The sequence below is a fragment of the Homo sapiens genome, chromosome 2 (assembly GCF_000001405.40).
Source record: "Homo sapiens chromosome 2, GRCh38.p14 Primary Assembly".
In the NCBI taxonomy this organism is placed as follows: Eukaryota; Metazoa; Chordata; class Mammalia; order Primates; family Hominidae; genus Homo; species Homo sapiens.
Window position 1 is genome coordinate 19825490 of NC_000002.12, and position 20421 is coordinate 19845910.

Below are 20421 nucleotides of genomic sequence, written 5' to 3' on the forward strand. Positions count from 1 at the left end.
CTCGCCCTTGAATTCTTTCCTGGGAGAAGCCAAGAACCCTCACAGGCTAAGCCCCAATTTGGGGCTCACCTGTCCTGCATCATAGCCACCCTCATGAATTATCTTAGCTAGATTTTCTGGATAATTTGCTGCAGCTTTTATATCAGCACTTGCTGCTTTTATGTTATGGAGATGGCTTCATTCCCAAAACCTCATGAATCAACTTTTATTAGCTTCCAATTTTTCTTCTGCTGTTCATAGAAGGTAGGTATTACTTAACATTCTGTCTGGAAAAGGAGCTGGATAAGGGACCTCCTTGTATTATAGCTAAGCAGCCAACATTTTATGTGACATAGTACATTATTAACTCTAGGTATAAAGAAATAAGCTAAAGATGCATATTGTTGTTCCTAGAGCAGCCACCAAAATAATAATGCAAAACATATAGCTAAAAATTCAATAGAAAAATCAAAATGGAATACTAAAAAAATTTCAATTAACCCAAACAAAGGAAAGAAAAGAGAAAAAGTGGGACATAAAACAGAAGCAACAAATACCTAAAAATGGTAAAATGGCAGACCTAAATCCAACTATATCAATCATTATATTGAATGAAAATGAACTAGACACTACAATTATAAGGCCAATATAGTTGGGATGGATTAAAAAACAAAAAAGTTTCAACTATAGTGTGTGAGATGAGACATAAATATAAAAATAGGTTGAGGAATCCACTTGTGCCTGGTATTCTAGTGCACACGCCTTGCAAGCAATGACGCCATGAGTCTGACTTCCAGTTCCAGCATACGAGTTGAATGGATCACAGCATTTACTATTGCTGCTGGGAGAGCTGCAACTGGTTATCTAGCTTACAAAAGATTTTATGACAAAGATCATCAGAATAAAGCTATGATGAACCTTCACATCCAGAAAGACAACCCCAAGATAGTACATGCTTTTGACATGGAGGATTTGGAAGATAAAGCTGTGTACTGCCATTGCTGGAGGTATAAAAAGTTCCCATTCTGTGATGGGTCTCACACAAAACACAACGAACAGACTGGAGACAACGTGGGACCTCTGATCATCGAGAAAAAAGAAACTTAACTGGACACTGTTGATGTTGCATATCAACTTGTGAAGTTAACTGATTGCTTAATTAGAATGACTACCACCTCTGTCTAATTCACCTCCCCTGGGTTCTAAATGCGGTATATTGCAAACTGCAGCTTTCGTATTGATGGCATTTGTCTTACTTTTTGAAACATCGTGGTGCACATTTGTTTAAACAAAAAAAAAAAAAAAGGAAAAACCAACCTCATGGCCTGTGGGTTATTTTGGTCTTGTAAGGATCAGTTTCTTTAAAATATTGACATATACAGGTGTATCTTACACAGAATATAGTTGTATCTTGAAGTCAACATATTAAATTATTCTCAATTTTTAAAAAAAATATATTGAAAATAAAAGGAAAGAAAAAATAACTATGGAAACACATATCATAAAAAAAGGTGGAGGAGCTACATGCAGATCAGATAAAATAGACTTCAAGAAAAGGAGTGTTAGCAGAGATAAGAAGGGACATTTTGTAATGATAAAGGATTCAATTCCACATAACAAGCCCAAATGTGTCTGCAAGTGATAGCAAGCTTTAAAACAAATGAATCAAAACTTAACAGAAGTAAAAGAAGTAGTCAAATCTATACACAGAGTTGGAGATTTTATCATTCCCCTCAGCTACTGATAAAACTGTTAAACAAAAAATCAGTACAGGTATAAAAGATCTGAATGATGCTATCAAACACCTTGGTCAAACCGGCACTTACAGAACACTACATCCACAACTATAGACTACATTATTCTTTTTAAATGCTATGGAGTATTCACCATATGCTGGACCATGACAGGTCTAAATACATTTCAAAATATTAAAATATTATGGAGTATGTTCTTTAACCACAACAAATTACATTGGAATCAATATTAATGTGAAAGCTAGAAGTGCCCCCAACCATTTGGAAATTAAACAAATACTAAATAAGTTTCAAAGAATTCAAAAGGGAAACTAGAAAATATTTTGAATTGAATAAAAATGAAAACACAACGTATCAAAATTTGTGAGATGCAGTTAGAGTGTTCAGATGAAATTTCTTAGCTTACATGAGAAAGGAAGAAAGGTATAGAATCAGTGTTTTAAGGTTTCACTTTAAGCTAGAAAAAAAGAGCAAATTAAACCCAAAGTAGATAGAAGGATAGAAATAATAAAAGAACAGAAATCAATTGAATAGGAAATAGAAATAGTACACTGAAAATTAGATCTTTGAGAAGATGAATAGAATTGATAAACTTCTCACAGGAAGGATCAAGAAAAAAAGAAAATACAAATTACTAATATCAGATTTGAAAGAGCCGATAGTGCTACAAACCCTACAGATATCAAAAGGATAATAATGGAATATTATGCACAATGGTTCATTAATAAGTTTGCCAGCTTACATGAAATGGGCAAATTCCTTGAAAAGCACAACTTGCCAAAACTGACACAGGTGAAACAGAAAATTTGAATAGCCTTATACATAGCAAAGAAATTGAATTTGGTATCAGAAACATTCCCAGAAAGAAAACCTTCAAGCTCAAGATTCCACCGCTGAATTTGATCAAATGTTTAAGCAAGAAATAACATCAATCACAAGTAAACTCTTTCAGAAAATAGAGAAAGGAACATTTGCCAGCTCTTTTAATGAGTCTAGCATACTCTGATATATCAAAGCCTGAAAAAAAATTACGAGAAAATTCTCCATTAACACAAATGCAAAAATCCTTAACAAAATACTAGCAAATAGAGTTCATCCATATATGAAAAGAATCATTCACTGTGAACCAGTGGGCTTATTATAGGAATGCAAGATTGATTTAGTATTTGAAAATCAAAGAAATTCACCATACTAACAGAATAAAAGAGAAAAACCACGTGATTATCTCAAAATGTAGAGAAAAAGCATTTGTCAGCATTCAAAATTCACTTAAGGTTTTAAGATAATACACACACAGTGTATGGGGAATCAAAGAAAAACTTGTTCAGTCTGATAAAGGGCAGCTACAAAAAAAATCTACCAGTGCCATACTTAACGGTGAAACACTGAACACTTCTCCCTTACTACTGGTCACAAGACAAGGATGTCCCATTTTCAACACTTCTATTTAACATCATACTGGAGGTCCTCACCAGTTCAATACAGAAAAGAAATAAAAGGCATAAAGACTGGAAAGGGAAAAGTAAAAGTTTTTCCTTTTCACAGGTGACCTGATCGTTTAATTATCAAAACTTAATATTGATAATAAAACTACTAGAATATGTGAGATTAGCAATGTCAGAGGATATGTCAATACATATAATCCATTGTATTTCTAGGTAGCAACATTGAACAATTGGAAAATGAAATTAAAGAAACAGCTTCTTTTATAATTATGTCAAAAAGAAACATACTTAGGAACAAATTTGACATCAGTATTGCAAAAACTTCTCAACGAACATTTAAAAATGTTCTGCTTATGTAAATTGCACTGCTTAGGTTAACTGAAAGCCTTAAAAAGTATCCAAAAAAGACATTATGTGCTTGGCATGTACTTTCAAAATCTATTGAATAAATTCTAATGAATACCTAATACATTCCATGCACTGGAGATACAACAGTTAAAGTCCTGACCTCATGAAGTTTAGGTCCTACTTAGAGAAGCAGCCAATAAAAAGACAAATTATTCTACAATATATCAAGTGCTAATAATTGCTATGAAAAAAATAAAACTTGGTAAGGGAGAAGAGAGTAATGCAGGAAGACTGTTTTATATAATAGTGAAAGCCTTATTTATTGATTTAAGACAAGGTCTCACTCTGTTGCCCAAGCTGGAGTGCAGTGGCACGATCACAGGTCACTTCAGCTGCAAACTCCTGTGCTCAAGGAGTCCTCCCACCCCAGCCTCCCAAGTAGCTAGGACTACAGGCATGTGCCACCATGGCCAGCTAATTTTTTTAATTTTTTTTTTAGAGGCAGAGTCTCACTGTAATGCCCTGGCTGGTCTGGTCTGAACTCCTGGGCTTAAGCGATCCTCCTGCCTTGGCCTCCCAAAGTGCTGGGATTACAGGTGTGAGCCACTGCACCTGGCCAAAAGCCTAATTGATAAGGGAAAAAAAAAAAAAAAAACATTGAGCAGAAGCCTGAGGAAAATGAGAGAATGAGCTATGTATGTTAATCAGAGATGAGAATTACAGACAGAGGGAATAGCAGGTACCAGGGTCCTGAGGCATGAGTGTGCCAGTTTGAGAAACAGTGTAAAGACTAGTGTTGCCAGAGTGCAGGGAGGTGAGCAAGAGGAAGAGTAAATGACAGCAGAGGGGGAATGTCTCAGGGACCCCAGTCATGCAAGGATTGGGGATTTACCTGTGTGCATTATGCAAAACCACAGGAGCATGCCATGACCTAGATATTTTAAAAAGATCTCTCTGTTACTATGAAGAGGATAAAGTTTAGGGCACCAAGGATAGGAATGGGGTGGGAGACAGAGGCTTCATAACACCTAAAGAGAGAGGTCAGTGATGGCACTAGAGGGGCCCAGAAGCTCTGGGGAAAAGTATTCTTTGTGTTCTAAAAACACACCAAAGACACAGCCCATAAGACTTGGAGTATGGGGTCTGAGAAAAAAAAAAAAAAAGTTGAAGAGTTTACCTGAGCAGCCAGAAGAAAAAAGTACATTTAAAACTGTAGGCGGGGCACAGTGGCTCACGCCTGTAATCCCAGCACTTTGGGAGGCCGAGGCGGGTGGATCACAAGGTCAGGAGATCGAGAACATCCTGGCTAACACGGTGAAACCCCATCCCTACTAAAAATACAAAAAAATCAGCCAGGTGCAGTGGCGAGTGCCTGTAGTCCCAGCTACTCGGGAGACTGAGGCAGGAGAATGGCATGAACCGGGGAGGTGGAGCTTACAGTGAGCCGAGATCGCACCACTGCATTCTAACCTGGGTGACAGAGCGAAACTCTGTCTCAAAAAAAAAAAAAAAAAAAATGTAGGAAGTGCATGTTTGAAATAGAAAATCCAAAGGTACATTTTGGACTTGTCCCTTGTGAGATTCAAGTGGAGATCATAGACAGCTGAATATGCAAGTATGGGTTCAGGGGACCAGGTTTTGGGAAGGTAAATTTGAGGAGCCATCAGCCTACCGATAGGGTGATCATATAACTTAGCTTTCAAACTGGGACTTTTGCTGAGACTGAAAGGTGGGGCCAATTATGCCCAGCATTGGGCAAAAACCAGAACTCTCCCAAGCAAACCAGGACACAGGATCATCCTACCTACAGAGGGTGTTAGAACGATGAGACTAGGTGAGATGCTTGAGGAAATTAGGTTGGATTGAGAAGACAAACATTACAATGCCTAAAAATCCAAAGATGAGAGGGGACAGCCAAGATCCTATAAGACCAATCAGTATGAGAGCTGAGAGACTGCTGTCCTGGAAGCCAAGTAAAGAACAGGATTTTCAGTAAGAGACAGTGATCAGCTGCATCAAATGCTGCTGGCATGTGATGGCAGTGAGAGGATGGATGAGAACTGGATGACAATGAAAGCTAAACTCTGACCCACAGAAAAGAAAGTGTCTATACACTCTAAAAGCTTATTCTTTTTTAATATTCAGGGTTGAAGAAGTAGAAAAGTATTAGAGAATGCACATAGTTTTCACTTTAAAGAGAAATAATTCAAATCCTTCTTTAAAAATATACTGTCCAAAATGGAATGCTTTGTCAGGGTACAGTGGCTCACTCCTGTAATCTCAGCAGTTTGGAAGGCTGAGGCAGGCGGACCACTTGAGGTCAGGAGTTTGAGGCCAGCCTGACCAATATGCTGAAACCCTGTCCCCACTAAAAATACAAAAAAATCAGCCTGGCGTGGTAGTGCACACATTTAATCCCAGATACTGGGGAGGCTGAGGCAGGAGAATGGTTGAACCTGAGGGATGGACATTGCAGTGAGCCGAGAAGGCGCCACTGCACTGCAGCCTGGATGTCAGAACAAGACCCCATCTCAAAAAAAAAAAAAGCGTTTTATGGTCAGTTAAAAGAAAGATTTTTAAGGAAGGGATCCAGTTTCAGCTTTCTACATATGGCTAGCCAGTTTTCCCAGCACCATTTATTAAATAGGGAATCCTTTCCCCATTGCTTGTTTTTCTCAGGTTTGTCAAAGATCAGATAGTTGTAGATATGCGGCGTTATTTCTGAGGGCTCTGTTCTGTTCCATTGATCTATATCTCTGTTTTGGTACCAGTACCATGCTGTTTTGGTTACTGTAGCCTTGTAGTATAGTTTGAAGTCAGGTAGTGTGATGCCTCCAGCTTTGTTCTTTTGGCTTAGGATTGACTTGGCGATGCGGGCTCTTTTTTGGTTCCATATGAACTTTAAAGTAGTTTTTTCCAATTCTGTGAAGAAAGGCATTGGTAGCTTGATGGGGATGGCATTGAATCTGTAAATTACCTTGGGCAGTATGGCCATTTTCACGATATTGATTCTTCCTACCCATGAGCATGGAATGTTCTTCCATTTGTTTGTATCCTCTTTTATTTCCTTGAGCAGTGGTTTGTAGTTCTCCTTGAAGAGGTCCTTCTCATCCCTTGTAAGTTGGATTCCTAGGTATTTTATTCTGTTTGAAGCAATTGTGAATGGGAGTTCACTCATGATTTGGCTCTCTGTTTGTCTGTTGTTGGTGTATAAGAATGCTTGTGATTTTTGTACCTTGATTTTGTATCCTGAGACTTTGCTGAAGTTGCTTATCAGCTTAAGGATATTTTGGGCTGAGACAATGGGGTTTTCTAGATATACAATCATGTCGTCTGCAAACAGGGACAATTTGACTTCCTCTTTTCCTAATTGAACACCCTTTATTTCCTTCTCCTGCCTAATTGCCCTGGCCAGAACTTCCAACACTATGTTGAATAGGAGTGGTGAGAGAGGGCATCCCTGTCTTGTGCCAGTTTTCAAAGGGAATGCTTCCAGTTTTTGCCCATTCAGTATGATATTGGCTGTGGGTTTGTCATAGATAGCCATCAGAGTGAACAGGCAACCTACAAAATGGGAGAAAATTTTCGCAACCTACTCATCTGACAAAGGGCTGATATCTAGAATCTACAATGAACTCAAACAAATTTACAAGAAAAAAACAAACAACCCCATCAAAAAGTGGGCGAAGGACATGAACAGACACTTCTCAAAAGAAGACATTTATGCAGCCAAAAAACACATGAAAAAATGCTCACCATCACTGGCCATCAGAGAAATGCAAATCAAAACCACAATGAGATACCATCTCACACCAGTTAGAATGGCAATCATTAAAAAGTCAGGAAACAACAGGTGCTGGAGAGGATGTGGAGAAATAGGAACACTTTTACACTGTTGGGGGGACTGTAAACTAGTTCAACCATTGTGGAAGTCAGTGTGGCGATTCCTCAGGGATCTAGAACTGGAAATACCATTTGACCCAGCCATCCCATTATTGGGTATATACCCAAAGGACTATAAATCATGCTGCTATAAAGACACATGCACACGTATGTTTATTGCGGCATTATTCACAATAGCAAAGACTTGGAACCAACCCAAATGTCCAACAATGATAGACTGGTTTAAGAAAATGTGGCACATATACACCATGGAATACTATGCAGCCATAAAAAATGATGAGTTCATGTCCGTTGTAGGGACATGGATGAAATTGGAAATCATCATTCTCAGTAAACTATCACAAGAACAAAAAACCAAACACCGCATATTCTCACTCATAGGTGGGAATTGAACAATGGGATCACATGGACACAGGAAGGGGAATATCACACTCTGGGGACTGTCGTGGGGTAGGGGGAGGGGGGAGGGATAGCATTGGGAGATATACCTAATGCTAGATGACGAGTTAGTGGGTGCAGCGCACCAGCATGGCACATGTACACATATGTAACTAACCTGCACAATGTGCACATGTACCCTAAAACTTAAAGTATAATAATAAAAAAATAAATTAATTAAAAAAAGAAAGATTTTTAAAATGGCAAAAAGTAATAATAGAAACATTTAATACAGCACTTAAGATGTGCCAGCCACTGTTCTTAGTGCTTTACATATATTAACTCATTCAATCCCTACAAGACGTGGACTATTTTGCTCTCCTCCCATTTTAGAGGAGAATAAGCCCAGGTAAAGGAAGGTGAAATAACCTATCCAAGTCCCCATGAATAGTAAGTGACAAAGCCAGCATGAGGACCTTGGTAGCTTGGCTCCAGAGACTGTGCTCTTAGCCCCATCTGTGCTTAGTGCCCCTAAGGCAGGGATATATTCACAGTAGGAGAGAGATTTTTCAAAAATTGACCCTAAGGTGTTGAAAACAGTCATATTTCCAAAGTCACCAAGCTAGGACACAGGATACACACTTGGTGCTTGCTCCCACAATAGATGTACTAGGCCAAGGACCAGAGCTTTCTAATCCCACTTGTATGAGTCCATTCTCACATTGCTATAAAGAACTACCTGAGACTGGGTAATTTATAAAGAAGAGGTTTAGTTTGCTCACAGTTCCACAGGCTGTGCAGGAAGCATGGCTGGGAAGGTGTCAGGATACTTACAATCACGGTGGAAGGCAAAGGGGAAGCAAGCATGTCTTACGTGGCCCAAGAAGGAGGAAGAGAGAGAAGGGGGAGGTGCTACACACTTTTAAACAACGAGGTCATAATAGTGAACTCATTCACTATTATGAGAACAGCAAGGGGATGTCTGCCCCCATGATCCAGTCACCTCCCACCAGTCCCCTCCTCCAACACTGGGGACTTTGGGCAGGGACACAAATTCAAACCATATCACCACTCACCTGGGTCAGAACTTCATCTGCTACAGGTGCACTGGAGTTCAACACCTTCCAGCTTCCCCTTTCTTTCTGGAGTTCTGAGAAGACACTAATCTTCCTAAAAATTCGACTAACTGGCTGCTCACCTGGACCCTGACATCCTAGCATGGTTGTTATAAGCCAATGGATATACCCACAGTGAGGCAAGGTCCACCTAGAATGTGGTTACATAATCTAAGTAGGTCTGGGGTTTTCCCCACTCAAAAACAATAATGACTATCTCTTTATCTCCCAATGGATTTGAAGATACTTTATCATTTTTTGATGAATGCATAGTTTTCCTCTGTCGTATGAGCTATAATTTAACTAGCCCCCTTGTTTAAACATTTAGGGTTTTTTTCCAGTTTTTCATTAATCAGAAATTCATAAATATTCTAGTACATTCTCATATAAATTTCCCCACTGGAAGAGTTTCCTTTTTAGGGTAACTTTTTCAAAGCAGGTTGCTGGGTCAAAGGATATGGGCATTTATATTTTGGTACTTGTCATACTGCCTTACAAATAGGTTGAACTAATTTACACTGCCATTAAATAAGCACTTCTCAAGACCTTAGCTAATACTGATTTTTTTTTTTTTTTTACCCAATCTGTTTACCTTCGCCATTAGGCAAAATATGATATTTCATGTTTAATTAGCATTTTTCATCATTAGTGATGTTGAACATCTTTTTTACATGTTCCTGACCACTTCACTTCCTCTTTTGTAAATTACCTATTTAATTTTCCATTAGTCTATGTGGGTTGTTCTTTCTCCTTTTGCTTTGTAATCGCCTTGTGTATATTGGGCTGATTAACTCTGCCATAAATCATGCAAATATCTTTCCCAGTTTCTCATTTGGCTTTAAATATTAATAGTATTTTTACAGGGCAGATGCTTTTCAGCTTTATTAAATACAACTTACATATTAGGAACCTGCAGGAGATTTTCTTCTGATTAAAAGATTAAATATTGAAGTTAAATCAGACCCATATACTCCTAAATAGCCCACGCATAATGCAACCTTCCCTCCAGGAGCAGTAATCTAAGCTCTGGGGAGAGTAAAGATGGTGGTTATACATGTTCTGGTGGCATGGTACCTCTGGTCTCTATACTTTTCTCCTTCTCAGCCTCTTCCCTTTGGCTCCCAAAACTCTCACTAAAGCATGATGGGAGCCGTCTGTATGATCATCTCCCTTCCAAGGTTCCTGCCTTTTTAAGCTGATGTACATTCAAAGCTTTAGCTTTAGCACTGGAATTTAGCCCTCTGCCTTTTTGCATTTGTATGAATAATCCTTAAGAACCACCAAGCACCAGCATAAGTCTGGCCTGTGTTGGATGACAAGCCCATTGAAGGGTCTCTCTGGTTAACAATGGAGTTGCTGTGTGCCATCCCAAAAAGACAGAAAACACAGGAAGACGGAGACAGACAGACCAGCAAGGGATAAGCCCAGGGTGGGCCTCTGCCAGCTTGCAGTCTTGCCCGAGCCTAGTTTTGACTATGGTAAATGGAGGCTGTCATCTGTGAACAGGCCCAGTCCTCTGCCAAAAAAGCCCAATCATTGCCAAACCTCAAAGGCCTCCAAGTACACAGTGGCCAGAGCCCACTCGAAAAGATGACTTCACCAGCATAGGGTAGAGCCAAGAACCAAAATACTTTGTCTTCTGCTGTTTATTTTAAAATCATGATTATGTGTTCCCTCTTCTTTCAGGGACATCAAACATGTAGTAACATTGTACAGGGACTTCTGGAGGCCTGGCCATCGGCACGAGCATAGAGGAGATGTCAGGCAGGTGCTGGGAACAGTGTATCCTCGGCAGATGTTCAAAGGGCTGACCACACTTGGCTAGCCTTGCTATCCAAAAAGTGTGTCTAGTCTCAAGGCCATGGCCACCTGGGAACGGTCATGCAGCACATGGTTCCCCACCCCCAAGAACACTGCTTCACCTGCTGCCTCCTCAAGAGGAAGCTGGCAAAGGTCAAGAGGGGGAAGCAGACCTTCTCTGACCTCTCATGCTCTTCCAGACCTACACTTCTTCACCCTGTTCGTGCAAATCCTGGCTCTTTAGAGGCTCATACTGTCAAGAAATACTACCCACGACCATTCCATATCACTGCTGTCTGCCAACCTCCTGGACATTCTCTTCATTCATTAAAAACTCCAGGATCTGGCTAACAATTATCTCTACCAACCAAAGTCCCTGGGTGACCTCAACAGTTCCAAGAATGACCTAGACAGCACCGGGCTTCTTCTACTTCTTTTAGCCTCTCATCAGCAGCGATCTCCACCTCCTCCTCACTGTAACTGTCATTCCTGTTGTTACACCCTAGGCTTTGTCTTTATCTGTACTTTTCTACATCCAAAATCTTAAATTCAGTCACCCTAGTTTCCAACCACAGCCTCTCATCCCTCCAGCTCACTCACCTGAATGCATTCTCACTATATAAATATGCTCCTCCTTTGTGAATTCTTCCACCTCACAGGCACCACCAGCCCTGATTTCTTTCTTTCTCCCTCTCTCCCTTCCTTCCTTCTAAGTCTTTACTTTTTGCCCCACCCACCCGAGATTCCAGGGTTTTCTTCTGATTAAAAGATTAAATATTGAAGTTAAATCAGACCCATATACTCTTAAATAGCCCACACATAATGCAACTTAATCCTTCTCATCAATATTCTCAGATCAAACCCTTGTCCCCTTGATGTCCCTCTGCAACCATCTCACAAAACTGCAACCCAGGATCATTTGGACTCTCCAGTTCCATATGCCTAAATCAGGTGGCTAAATCCTACTGAAGAAATTAACTCACCCCTAGGTTTGGAGTCACTACAAATGCCTGGTCACCAGCTTATTCCACACTGCTTTCATTTTCCCGAGGAGCTAGTGCAAATGTTCTCCACTCTCAAATCCTTGACTCTGTCCCCACGCTCTTTCAGCTCTCAGTCCCAGGAGACAAACTCATCCCCACTTTACAGAAATGATGGCAGCCACTGGATGAGACACTTGTCAGCAGCTTACCAGCAAGCCTACCAGTTGTCCCCTCTGCCCCCTTCCTTTCTCACTTCTGCTAAAAGTGGAGAAAGTTTCTTTTTTATTTTTTTGCCTGAGGCTAATCCTTCCTTGTGTTCTTTCTCCTATCACTTTCACCTTCAGTGTCTCATCTCTTGATCATGGGCTGTCTCTAGCTCCTCTGTCTTGGTATTGGCTCTTTGCCATCAATGCTTAAACGTGCTCCAGTCTGCCCCGACTTTAAGCAAACAAAAACAAAGCAGCCTTCCTCTTCCCCAGATTCCACCCCAAACCTCCTCAAACTCATTTCTTCAGTTCATAGCCAGACATTGTTAACATTTTTTATTCTAGAATAAAACACAGATACAGAAAACCAGTAGAAATGTATAGCTGAATGAACAACCTTGTCAACGTGTTCAAAAAATTGCATTTTTCCAGTTAGAAGCCCCTGGTGCTCCATTCCAATCATAACTTCGCCTTCCCCAAGAAGGAACCACTCTTCCGATGTTCAGAGTGGTCACTTTCTTGTGTGTTTTTGTAGCTACACCACCAAAAGTGCATCCATAGGCACTACAGTTTACTCTTGCCCATTGCTTATTTGATATATCCTGTAAGTATTTATTATCTACATGTTTCTTCATGATCCCTTTTTTTTAACAGTGTATTGGTAAAAGAACCATCATGTGAACTGTAGGGTTTCTCATGGTCTCTGGATTTGGCTGATTGAACACTCATGTTGCACTCGTGTTCTTCTGTGTTCCTGTAAATTGGTGACCTGTAGGGTTTCTCATGGTCTCTGGATTTGGTTGATTGAACATTCATGTTGCACTCGTGTTCTTCTGTGTTCCTGTAAATTGGTAGCTGAGTCTAGTGGCTTGATCAGACTCAGATTTGATCCATTTAGCAAGACTATAGGTGATGGTGTTTCTTTCATCAGGAAGCATTTAATGTCTGGTTGACTTTGTGCCATGTTTGTACCCAAGAATGTTCAATGCCTCCTAATCCTGTTATGTTCTTTTCTAGCTTGAATATTTCTAGAAAAGATGCCTCCTCTCTCATAATTTGGTTACATGGTGGTACACAGTTGGTATAGAAAAGGCAGAATAAATGCTTGGTTCTTTCCTTATCTTTATCCAGTTGTCAAGATAATCAATTTGTTTCTTATCCTTCCAATGTGGCCAAGTAGTTTTGGGTTTTTTTTTTTTTTAAGTATTATTGTAAACTCATGGATTCCTATGTTTTGCCAGTAGAAGCCTCTTCAAATTGGCTCCTGGCCCCTTTAACACAGACCCCTTGGTCTTCGACAGCTTCCTTACTATCTGGTATGACAAGACATTCCAGATTTATCTCATGTTTACTGTTCCAGACCCAGAATTAGCCATTTCTCCTAGAAGCCTTGATTTGTTTTAATGGAAAACAAGTTTTCAAGACCACAATCTTCATGATAGGGATTGCTCATGGCTACTTAGTCAGACTTCCTAAAATGGTTATCTTCACTTCCCAATTCCCATCTACTCCTTAGGCCATCCAACTTAACTTCTGCCACCACCACTTCCTTGAAAATATTCTTATCAATTGCTAAATGATATTGGCACTTCTGAGACTCCATCCACAACTGACATAATCAACCACTCCTTTCTTCTCAAAACACTTAGGAACATTTATTTCTATGACACCATCATCTTCTCATTTTCCTCCTTTTCAAATTTTTTTCTTTTTCATTTTATCTTTTTCTTTTCCTATTTGTTTTCATTTTCCACCTTTTCAAGTGCTCCTTCTCATTCTCCATTGTGACCTGTTTATCCTCTGCCAAGCTCTTAAGTGCTGTGGCCTTGAGATGATTAAGGGTGTCTTAAGACTTTCTTCTTCTTATCAGAACCCCCCTCTCTGATCTATACCACCTACTCCATGGCTGAAATTAACTTATATGTTGATAATTCTCAAGTCAATATCTCCTGTTAAGATCTCTCCTCAAATAGAAGACCAGCTATCCAGCTCTTCACTCAGATGTCCCACCTGAGATTTCCAGATACCCATCACATCCCCAAGTCTCTAGCGTGCTCCTGATGCAATGATTCGGATCTCAGTAATTGGTGCCTCTGTCTACCCGGTTGCCCGAATCTGATTCTGGGTAGTCATCTTTAACTCATTCTTTCCCTTCACCCCCGCAATCCAATCAAAAACTGAAAGCAACTCCCTCCGTGGTCCCTCCTAGCTGTCTAGCATCCGCCCCCTTCTCTCCACCCACACCACCCTTACCCCAGCTCATGCTGCCTTCATCCTGCTCATCTCAGCCACATCCTCCCATGTGGCCTCCCTGCCTCTGGTGTGGCCCCTCCAGTCGATTCTCTACACCACAGCCAGAGCAATCTTCCTGAAACACCAACTAGATCATGTCATTCTACTGTTTAAAACAATGCTCTTAGCATAAAGCCCAAAATTTTTTGTAAGATGATTTTTACAAAGCCCAGCATGATCTGGTTCTTGCTTGCTTCTACATCCTCTCCTCTGATAATCGTCACTTTTCACTACCCATAACTCACTCCAAGATCCAGCTTAATGAACTTTGATCACTTTAAATGGAACCATTGTTTCCTCCAGGAAGCCTCCCCTGCGCCCCCAAGTTTGAATCTGATGCTTCTTTCAACACTAATTTGTGGCTTCAAAATTCCCAGTCCATTTATCTGCATTCCTCACTCCCCCTACTAGAGCAGAGTTTCTCCTTCTTGACAAAACTCATGCCACAGCTGCCTTATCAATTGCCAACTCAGGGACCCCTTCCTCTGGGTCCACCATGTATACCTCTGAATGCCAAGGTTCTATACTTAGAAGATCCTTCACATTCAGCAGACTTTCCTTAGCCAGAGACAGGCTGCCTATACTGGAAAGATGTTCTAAAAACATCAAGTCTGACCCTCCCATTTTACAGAGGAGGAAACTGAGGCCCCAAGAAGGGGCCTTTCAAAACCCCCTCAGAGAAGTCGTGGTTGAGACAATACAAGAATCCAGGTCCATTCAAGGGATTTTGCCTTCTACCAGCAAGCCCATAAGAGCTGCTCCAGGAGGCCTTATGGAAAGGAATGGGCCATTACAGCTTCCTTAGTTCAAAATAATCTAAAGCCATATTGTTGCAGAAATCTTACAAAACTACAGCTGCTGACCCTAACTGGGGTCTACTTTGCTCAGTGTTGGGACTAAATCAAAAGGCATAGCCCAGTCCAGAAGACAGACTGGCCTAGCCAGTTCTAAAGGGACATGAAGCCTCCCCCCTACCCCCCATGGTGACCAAGGGACTCCTCTAATCAATCAGGTGGCACAGACAGAAACACAGATGTAGTCACAGGAGCCAGGTGGATCTTGTTGTGGCCAAAGATGCTGGATCAGCCTAACAGAAGGTAGAACAAACAACTGAAGTGGCAGAGAGATCACAAGTTTAGGTCCCTGACATGGCACAGTCCAGACCAGATTCCCCTGCTAACTGCTTGACCTCCCCTAGGTCAAGCCAGAACAGGGGCTAGATGACAAAGAACAGATTGTGGCTTGTCTGTGAAATCTGTAGACCATCACAGACCACACTTAGAGAAGCAAGCATTCTCCTTGTCCCACAGAGCTGGAGAAAGCCTGGGTTCTTGGGTCAGATTCCCCAAAATAGGCCCTGAAATGAGAGTTTGCATTCAAGTGATTTCTTAAGGAAGTCTAACTGGGAGAAACTGGTAAGAACAGAGAAGGAAAGAAAGAAAGTGAGTTTGATCGTAGGCAGAGACCCACAGAGGACACTCTGAGTCCGATCCTGCTGTAAGACTCCTCAGGATTGACAAACCTTCAGCAAAGGCTTTCATAACCCCTCCCCTCACAGTCACTGGTCCAGGGGAGAGGTAACTGCCCACTCATTTCTGGCTTCTATGCAAAGTAAAGCAGCACCAGTAGCCCAAGGGTATGAGGGAAGTCCTTCAAAGAAGAGCTGCAGGCTCCAAGTGCTGGGGATTGGAAGCAAGAGCATACCCAAGACAGCGGTGCACAAAATGGACAGGGCCAAGGGGAGTGGTGGTGCACTGTCATTGCATCAAATAACAGCATAACATCATAGGGTGACCCAACTAAAGCCAAGCTGGAATTCACAGTCTTTCTGGCCACATGAGTAGAAGTCTGGTCATTGCTCTTGGAATCTGTTTAAATGAGCTGGTATACACGGAAGCTTTTTAGGAGTGAAGGGATGCAGAGACTCCTGGGGAGACAGATAGTGTAAGGAGGGGAATGGGAACCATACCAGGGAATGGTATGGTGACTGTCTCTCCCTCCAGCCCAAGACAGGGGTTCTGGATCTCTGTCACTTGTAGCCAGAGTTCTAAGTAACACACTTTATCAGTTTGCTAGGAGGGGTATAATGAGCGAATGGATGAAAAAAGTCTTCATAAATAACAAATGTTGTATTACTTCCAAGTCACATTTGATGGTCTGGAAAAAACACTGAAGGGTACACATAATGGTCACTCAGTGAATATCTATTAAATGAATGAATCAAACTGGCTGAAGGAGGAGGAGGAAGAAGAAAAAAAGGGAGAAGAAGAGGAAAAAGGAGGGAAGGAAAGAAGAATAAGAGTGGGTAAGAGGAAAAAGAAGGAAGGGAAGGGAAGGGAAGGAAAGGGAAGGGAAAGGAAAGGAAGGGAAGGAGGGAGGGGAGGGGAGGGGAAAGGGAGGAGAAGGAGAAACCCACACACAGAACTCACTGTATCTGAAAATTCTAGGGATAGGTCTAAATTCAGGCATGGCTGATTCAGGCCCTCAGAAGCTGTGGACAGGACCGTATCTCTCACCAAACTTTGGCGCTGCTTGTCTCTGTGTCGCCTTCATTCTCAGGCTCTGTCTGAAGTAGCAATGCTTCCACCAGTGGCTCTCAGTGAACATCCTACCAGCTTAGCACCCTCATGGCCCTTTCCTCATAGCTCCAATAGAAGTTCCATGATTGATTCTGATTCACTGACTTGAGCCATCTGCCCATTCTTGAACCAATTACTGTGACCAGGGAGATGGAATAAGCAGATCGGCCAGCCCTGGGTCACACGTTCACTCTGGAGCAGCTTACAGGTGGGTGGGGGTCGGTTGCTGGTCCCACCTGAACTGCATGAAATGAGCATGGGGGAAGGGGATTTCGCCCAAAGGAGAGCTGGGGTGCTGCTTGTTGAAGTAGAAAAACGAGGTGCTGGACATGCAAAAATCACAGTCTCCTACGTTCCTGTGTGATACCAAGACTGCTTCTGCAGCAGAAAAGGCAGAAAGAAGGGTGGGCCCTTAACTTCCATAAGCGATGCACTCTTAGATGTCTATGAACTATAGAGTCAAGGAAATTCAAATGTTTGTACCAGATCCAGGCTTTCTCTTGAATCACAGGTAACTGTTTTTCCAACTTCCATTAGTTTTCTCTCATTTGGGGAGCCATTTTGAACCATTAGAGAAGCTGTTAAAATGGTTTCAGGAGATGCCTGGTGTTTTCTTATAGAACTCCTGGTAAATTCATTTACACCATTGGAGTGAGTCCCTGCTGAATTCAACATTCCTTCTTCTAATTTGTCCAAAACTTCAAACGCTCATTTTCTTAACCCACCCAGTTTCTCTATACATCTATCTCCAGCAATAGTTTTTGGCATTCTTTAATGGTCATTCCTTTTCCCACTGGAACCAAGTGTTGAATCACCTCATAGCAGTTACAGTGTCCATGACGATGAACAGAGAATGTGAAAGTGGCTCTGAGGTGTGGGCAGCTTGCTGAGTGCTAAAGGTCTCTGAGAGAGACTCCTGTGGCCTTTGCCTCTGAGGATCTACTCACCCTTCTGCTGATAAATGTATTCTCTCCTCCACTCTTAGATCCTAGGTTTTGGTGGAGCTTCTCACCATAATTAGGGCTGGAGCCTATAATGTAAGCCTAAAAACCAACTAGATTATCACAGCTCCCCAGTCACAACAATTAATTTGGGACTCAGTCAGAAATAATGAGAGGCAATGAGACACTGGCAGAATTTTCTGGGAAAGAGACCGCTGCTATTAATATTTCCTGCTGGACTTGAATCTGAGGGAATATCAGGTTGGGAGCTAAGGCTGCCATTTAGTACCCTGAGAGACGGATCTGGCCTCCAAATGGAGTCAATCCAGAGGAAGTGGAGTTGAAGGTGAGGAAGAGGGAGAGACGAGAGAGAGGCTAGACCCTGGTGACATTGACTGAGTGAAGTGCCACCTGAAACCAGCCCAACCTCTGCCTTTTAAGAGAAGTGAGTTGATAAGTTCTCTTTTTGCTTACCCTGGTTTGTGCTGGGATTTCTCTCCCTGGAGAGCAAAAGTTACCAAGTAGATGCAACCCTATTGTATTTCAATACCCTCTCAGTCCCCACCAGCCCATGGGTTGACATCTGGTCACATTAACAACAGCACAATGGAGGCTCTTAGCTTCCATGCACTGCACATGGACTCAGCACCCCTCCAAGTCTCTCTCTCTTATTTCTTAGTGAAGATTTCACCAGTGGGTGTCTTATATGTTCAGGAACAATTTTGGTCATGTTCTTTCCTGACATTCTCTTATAAAATGACTGTGGCCAGAGGAGTGGGATGAGACCACTGACCTCATTCTGATCATGAGCAGGGCTGGGAGGAGAGTGAGTACAGCTGGCAGCCTCCATGAGGAGCACTCAATTCACATGGAGGAGAGGCCATCCATGGAGAAGAAGGGAGCACTATTGCCAGAAGAACAGAGAAGAGCGAGCTAAACACACAAACAAGGGGGCCCGCCATGGGTAGAAGGGCAAGAAGTGCTGAGACCACCCACTGATGAGGACAGGAAGGCCTGGGGGAGGGAACACATGTGCCAGTGGTCACTGGGTGAGAAGGTAGTGGGGCTCAGACTCAAGCCCAGGGGACCAGGGTGCTCCCCCTGCTCACCCATGCCTTTGCTGGAGAGCCATGAACAGTTTAGCAAGGGTCAGGAATGTGTGAAAGTTCACACTGCCAGTTCTGCCCAATCCACAGTCAAGTTCAAGTGTATTCCTGGATGGGGAGCAAAGGCAAGATCTGTCTGACAACACCAATTTCCCCCAACCTGAGTGCCAGCCCCCAAGGCTCCCTGCAATATAAACTGCCATGGAACACTGGCCTTAGACCCCTGCAGGCTTCCTACCCTCAGAAACAGCCATTCTATGGAATTACAATGTGGGGCAGGCTTGATCCAAACACTCCTGACTCACTGCATTGCAGCCATGCCCTGTGGGCTCTGATCACACAATTCTCTCACTCTTGATGAGCTTATTCCCCTGCTCCTTCATACTTTCCTCTCTCCCATCATCCCGGAATTCCCTTGCTCATTTCTATAATCTAAAGTCTTTCCTCTTCTTTCTCTAAGATTTTTCTTCTTCAAACCCCACCCCAACGTTCAAATCTGAGACTTCTCAATAGAAAGAACCCCAAATTGGAAGCAGGAGGCATGGGCGAAGGAGCCAACCCTGGTGCTGCCTCCTTGGATGACCTTGAGCCAATTCCCACACCTCTCTGGGCTCCAGCTTGCTCTTTCCAAGGCATTGCAGGCAAACGCTGGGATTCCCCATGTCATCTGGCCCACTATGAGCACAAAAGATGCCCCGTCTTCCACCACCCCTGACCCCAAGCCTCTGTCCCTCACACCAGGGCTGCCTTCTGTCCCCAGGTTAGACCTGAATGATGGGAAGAGATGTTCTTGCCCCTGGAGACCGGGCAATCCAGGGCTGTTTCTGTTTTAAAAATAAACCATATGATTCTTTCGGATTTGGGGGTTGAAGAGCAAAAAGAAAGAGGATATAAGAGAAGCTTCAGGGGTGATTGCCAAAAATGTTTCCCACCCACCAATTTCTTAAACTAGGAGCATCTCAAGGGGGAGCTGACCACATGGTCTTGATTTACTAAAACTTCACTCATTAGGCTGGTATCCTTTCAAGCATATTGGACAGCTAACAGGCGAGAAGCTTTTCAAAGCCCCTTCCCCTCCATACTGGGGCTGGCAGGGGGCCAGGAGGGAGGCCCCAGAGCAGAAGCACTTGTGCAGCCACCCCCAGGGCGCTGTTCCTGCTGGGTTACAATCTCCCCACTGAACCAGAAGAAAGCTCTACTGAGGATCACACATGGCACAGATGTGGTCACACATGGCTCCAAAGTCCGAACGGAAGTCTTGGCACTGGACCCAGGTGTGATGGACACATGTGTGCCCAAGGGTATAGATAAGAATATGGGCAGGACCACACACAACCAGCCCCCTATGGGTGTCATCTCCCCACACAGGCACACATGTGCTCACACACACACACACACACACACACACACATACACACACAGAGGCAATGGTCCCCGCATGCTGGAGAGGCACATCCAGAGAGCTCAGTCTCTGCCTACAGCTAGAACATCTTGGACTTCCAAACTCCTTGTAAATTAGATGTTGAATCTGTGCACAGGCTCTTGCTACACACACTGAAAGACAGCAAAAGCATAAACCCACTGGAATCTAG

General features: G+C 42.5%; 1 pseudogene; it reads left to right on the forward strand.

Moving 5' to 3' along the window:
- Positions 707 to 1419, forward strand: CISD1P1 (CDGSH iron sulfur domain 1 pseudogene 1; annotated as a pseudogene).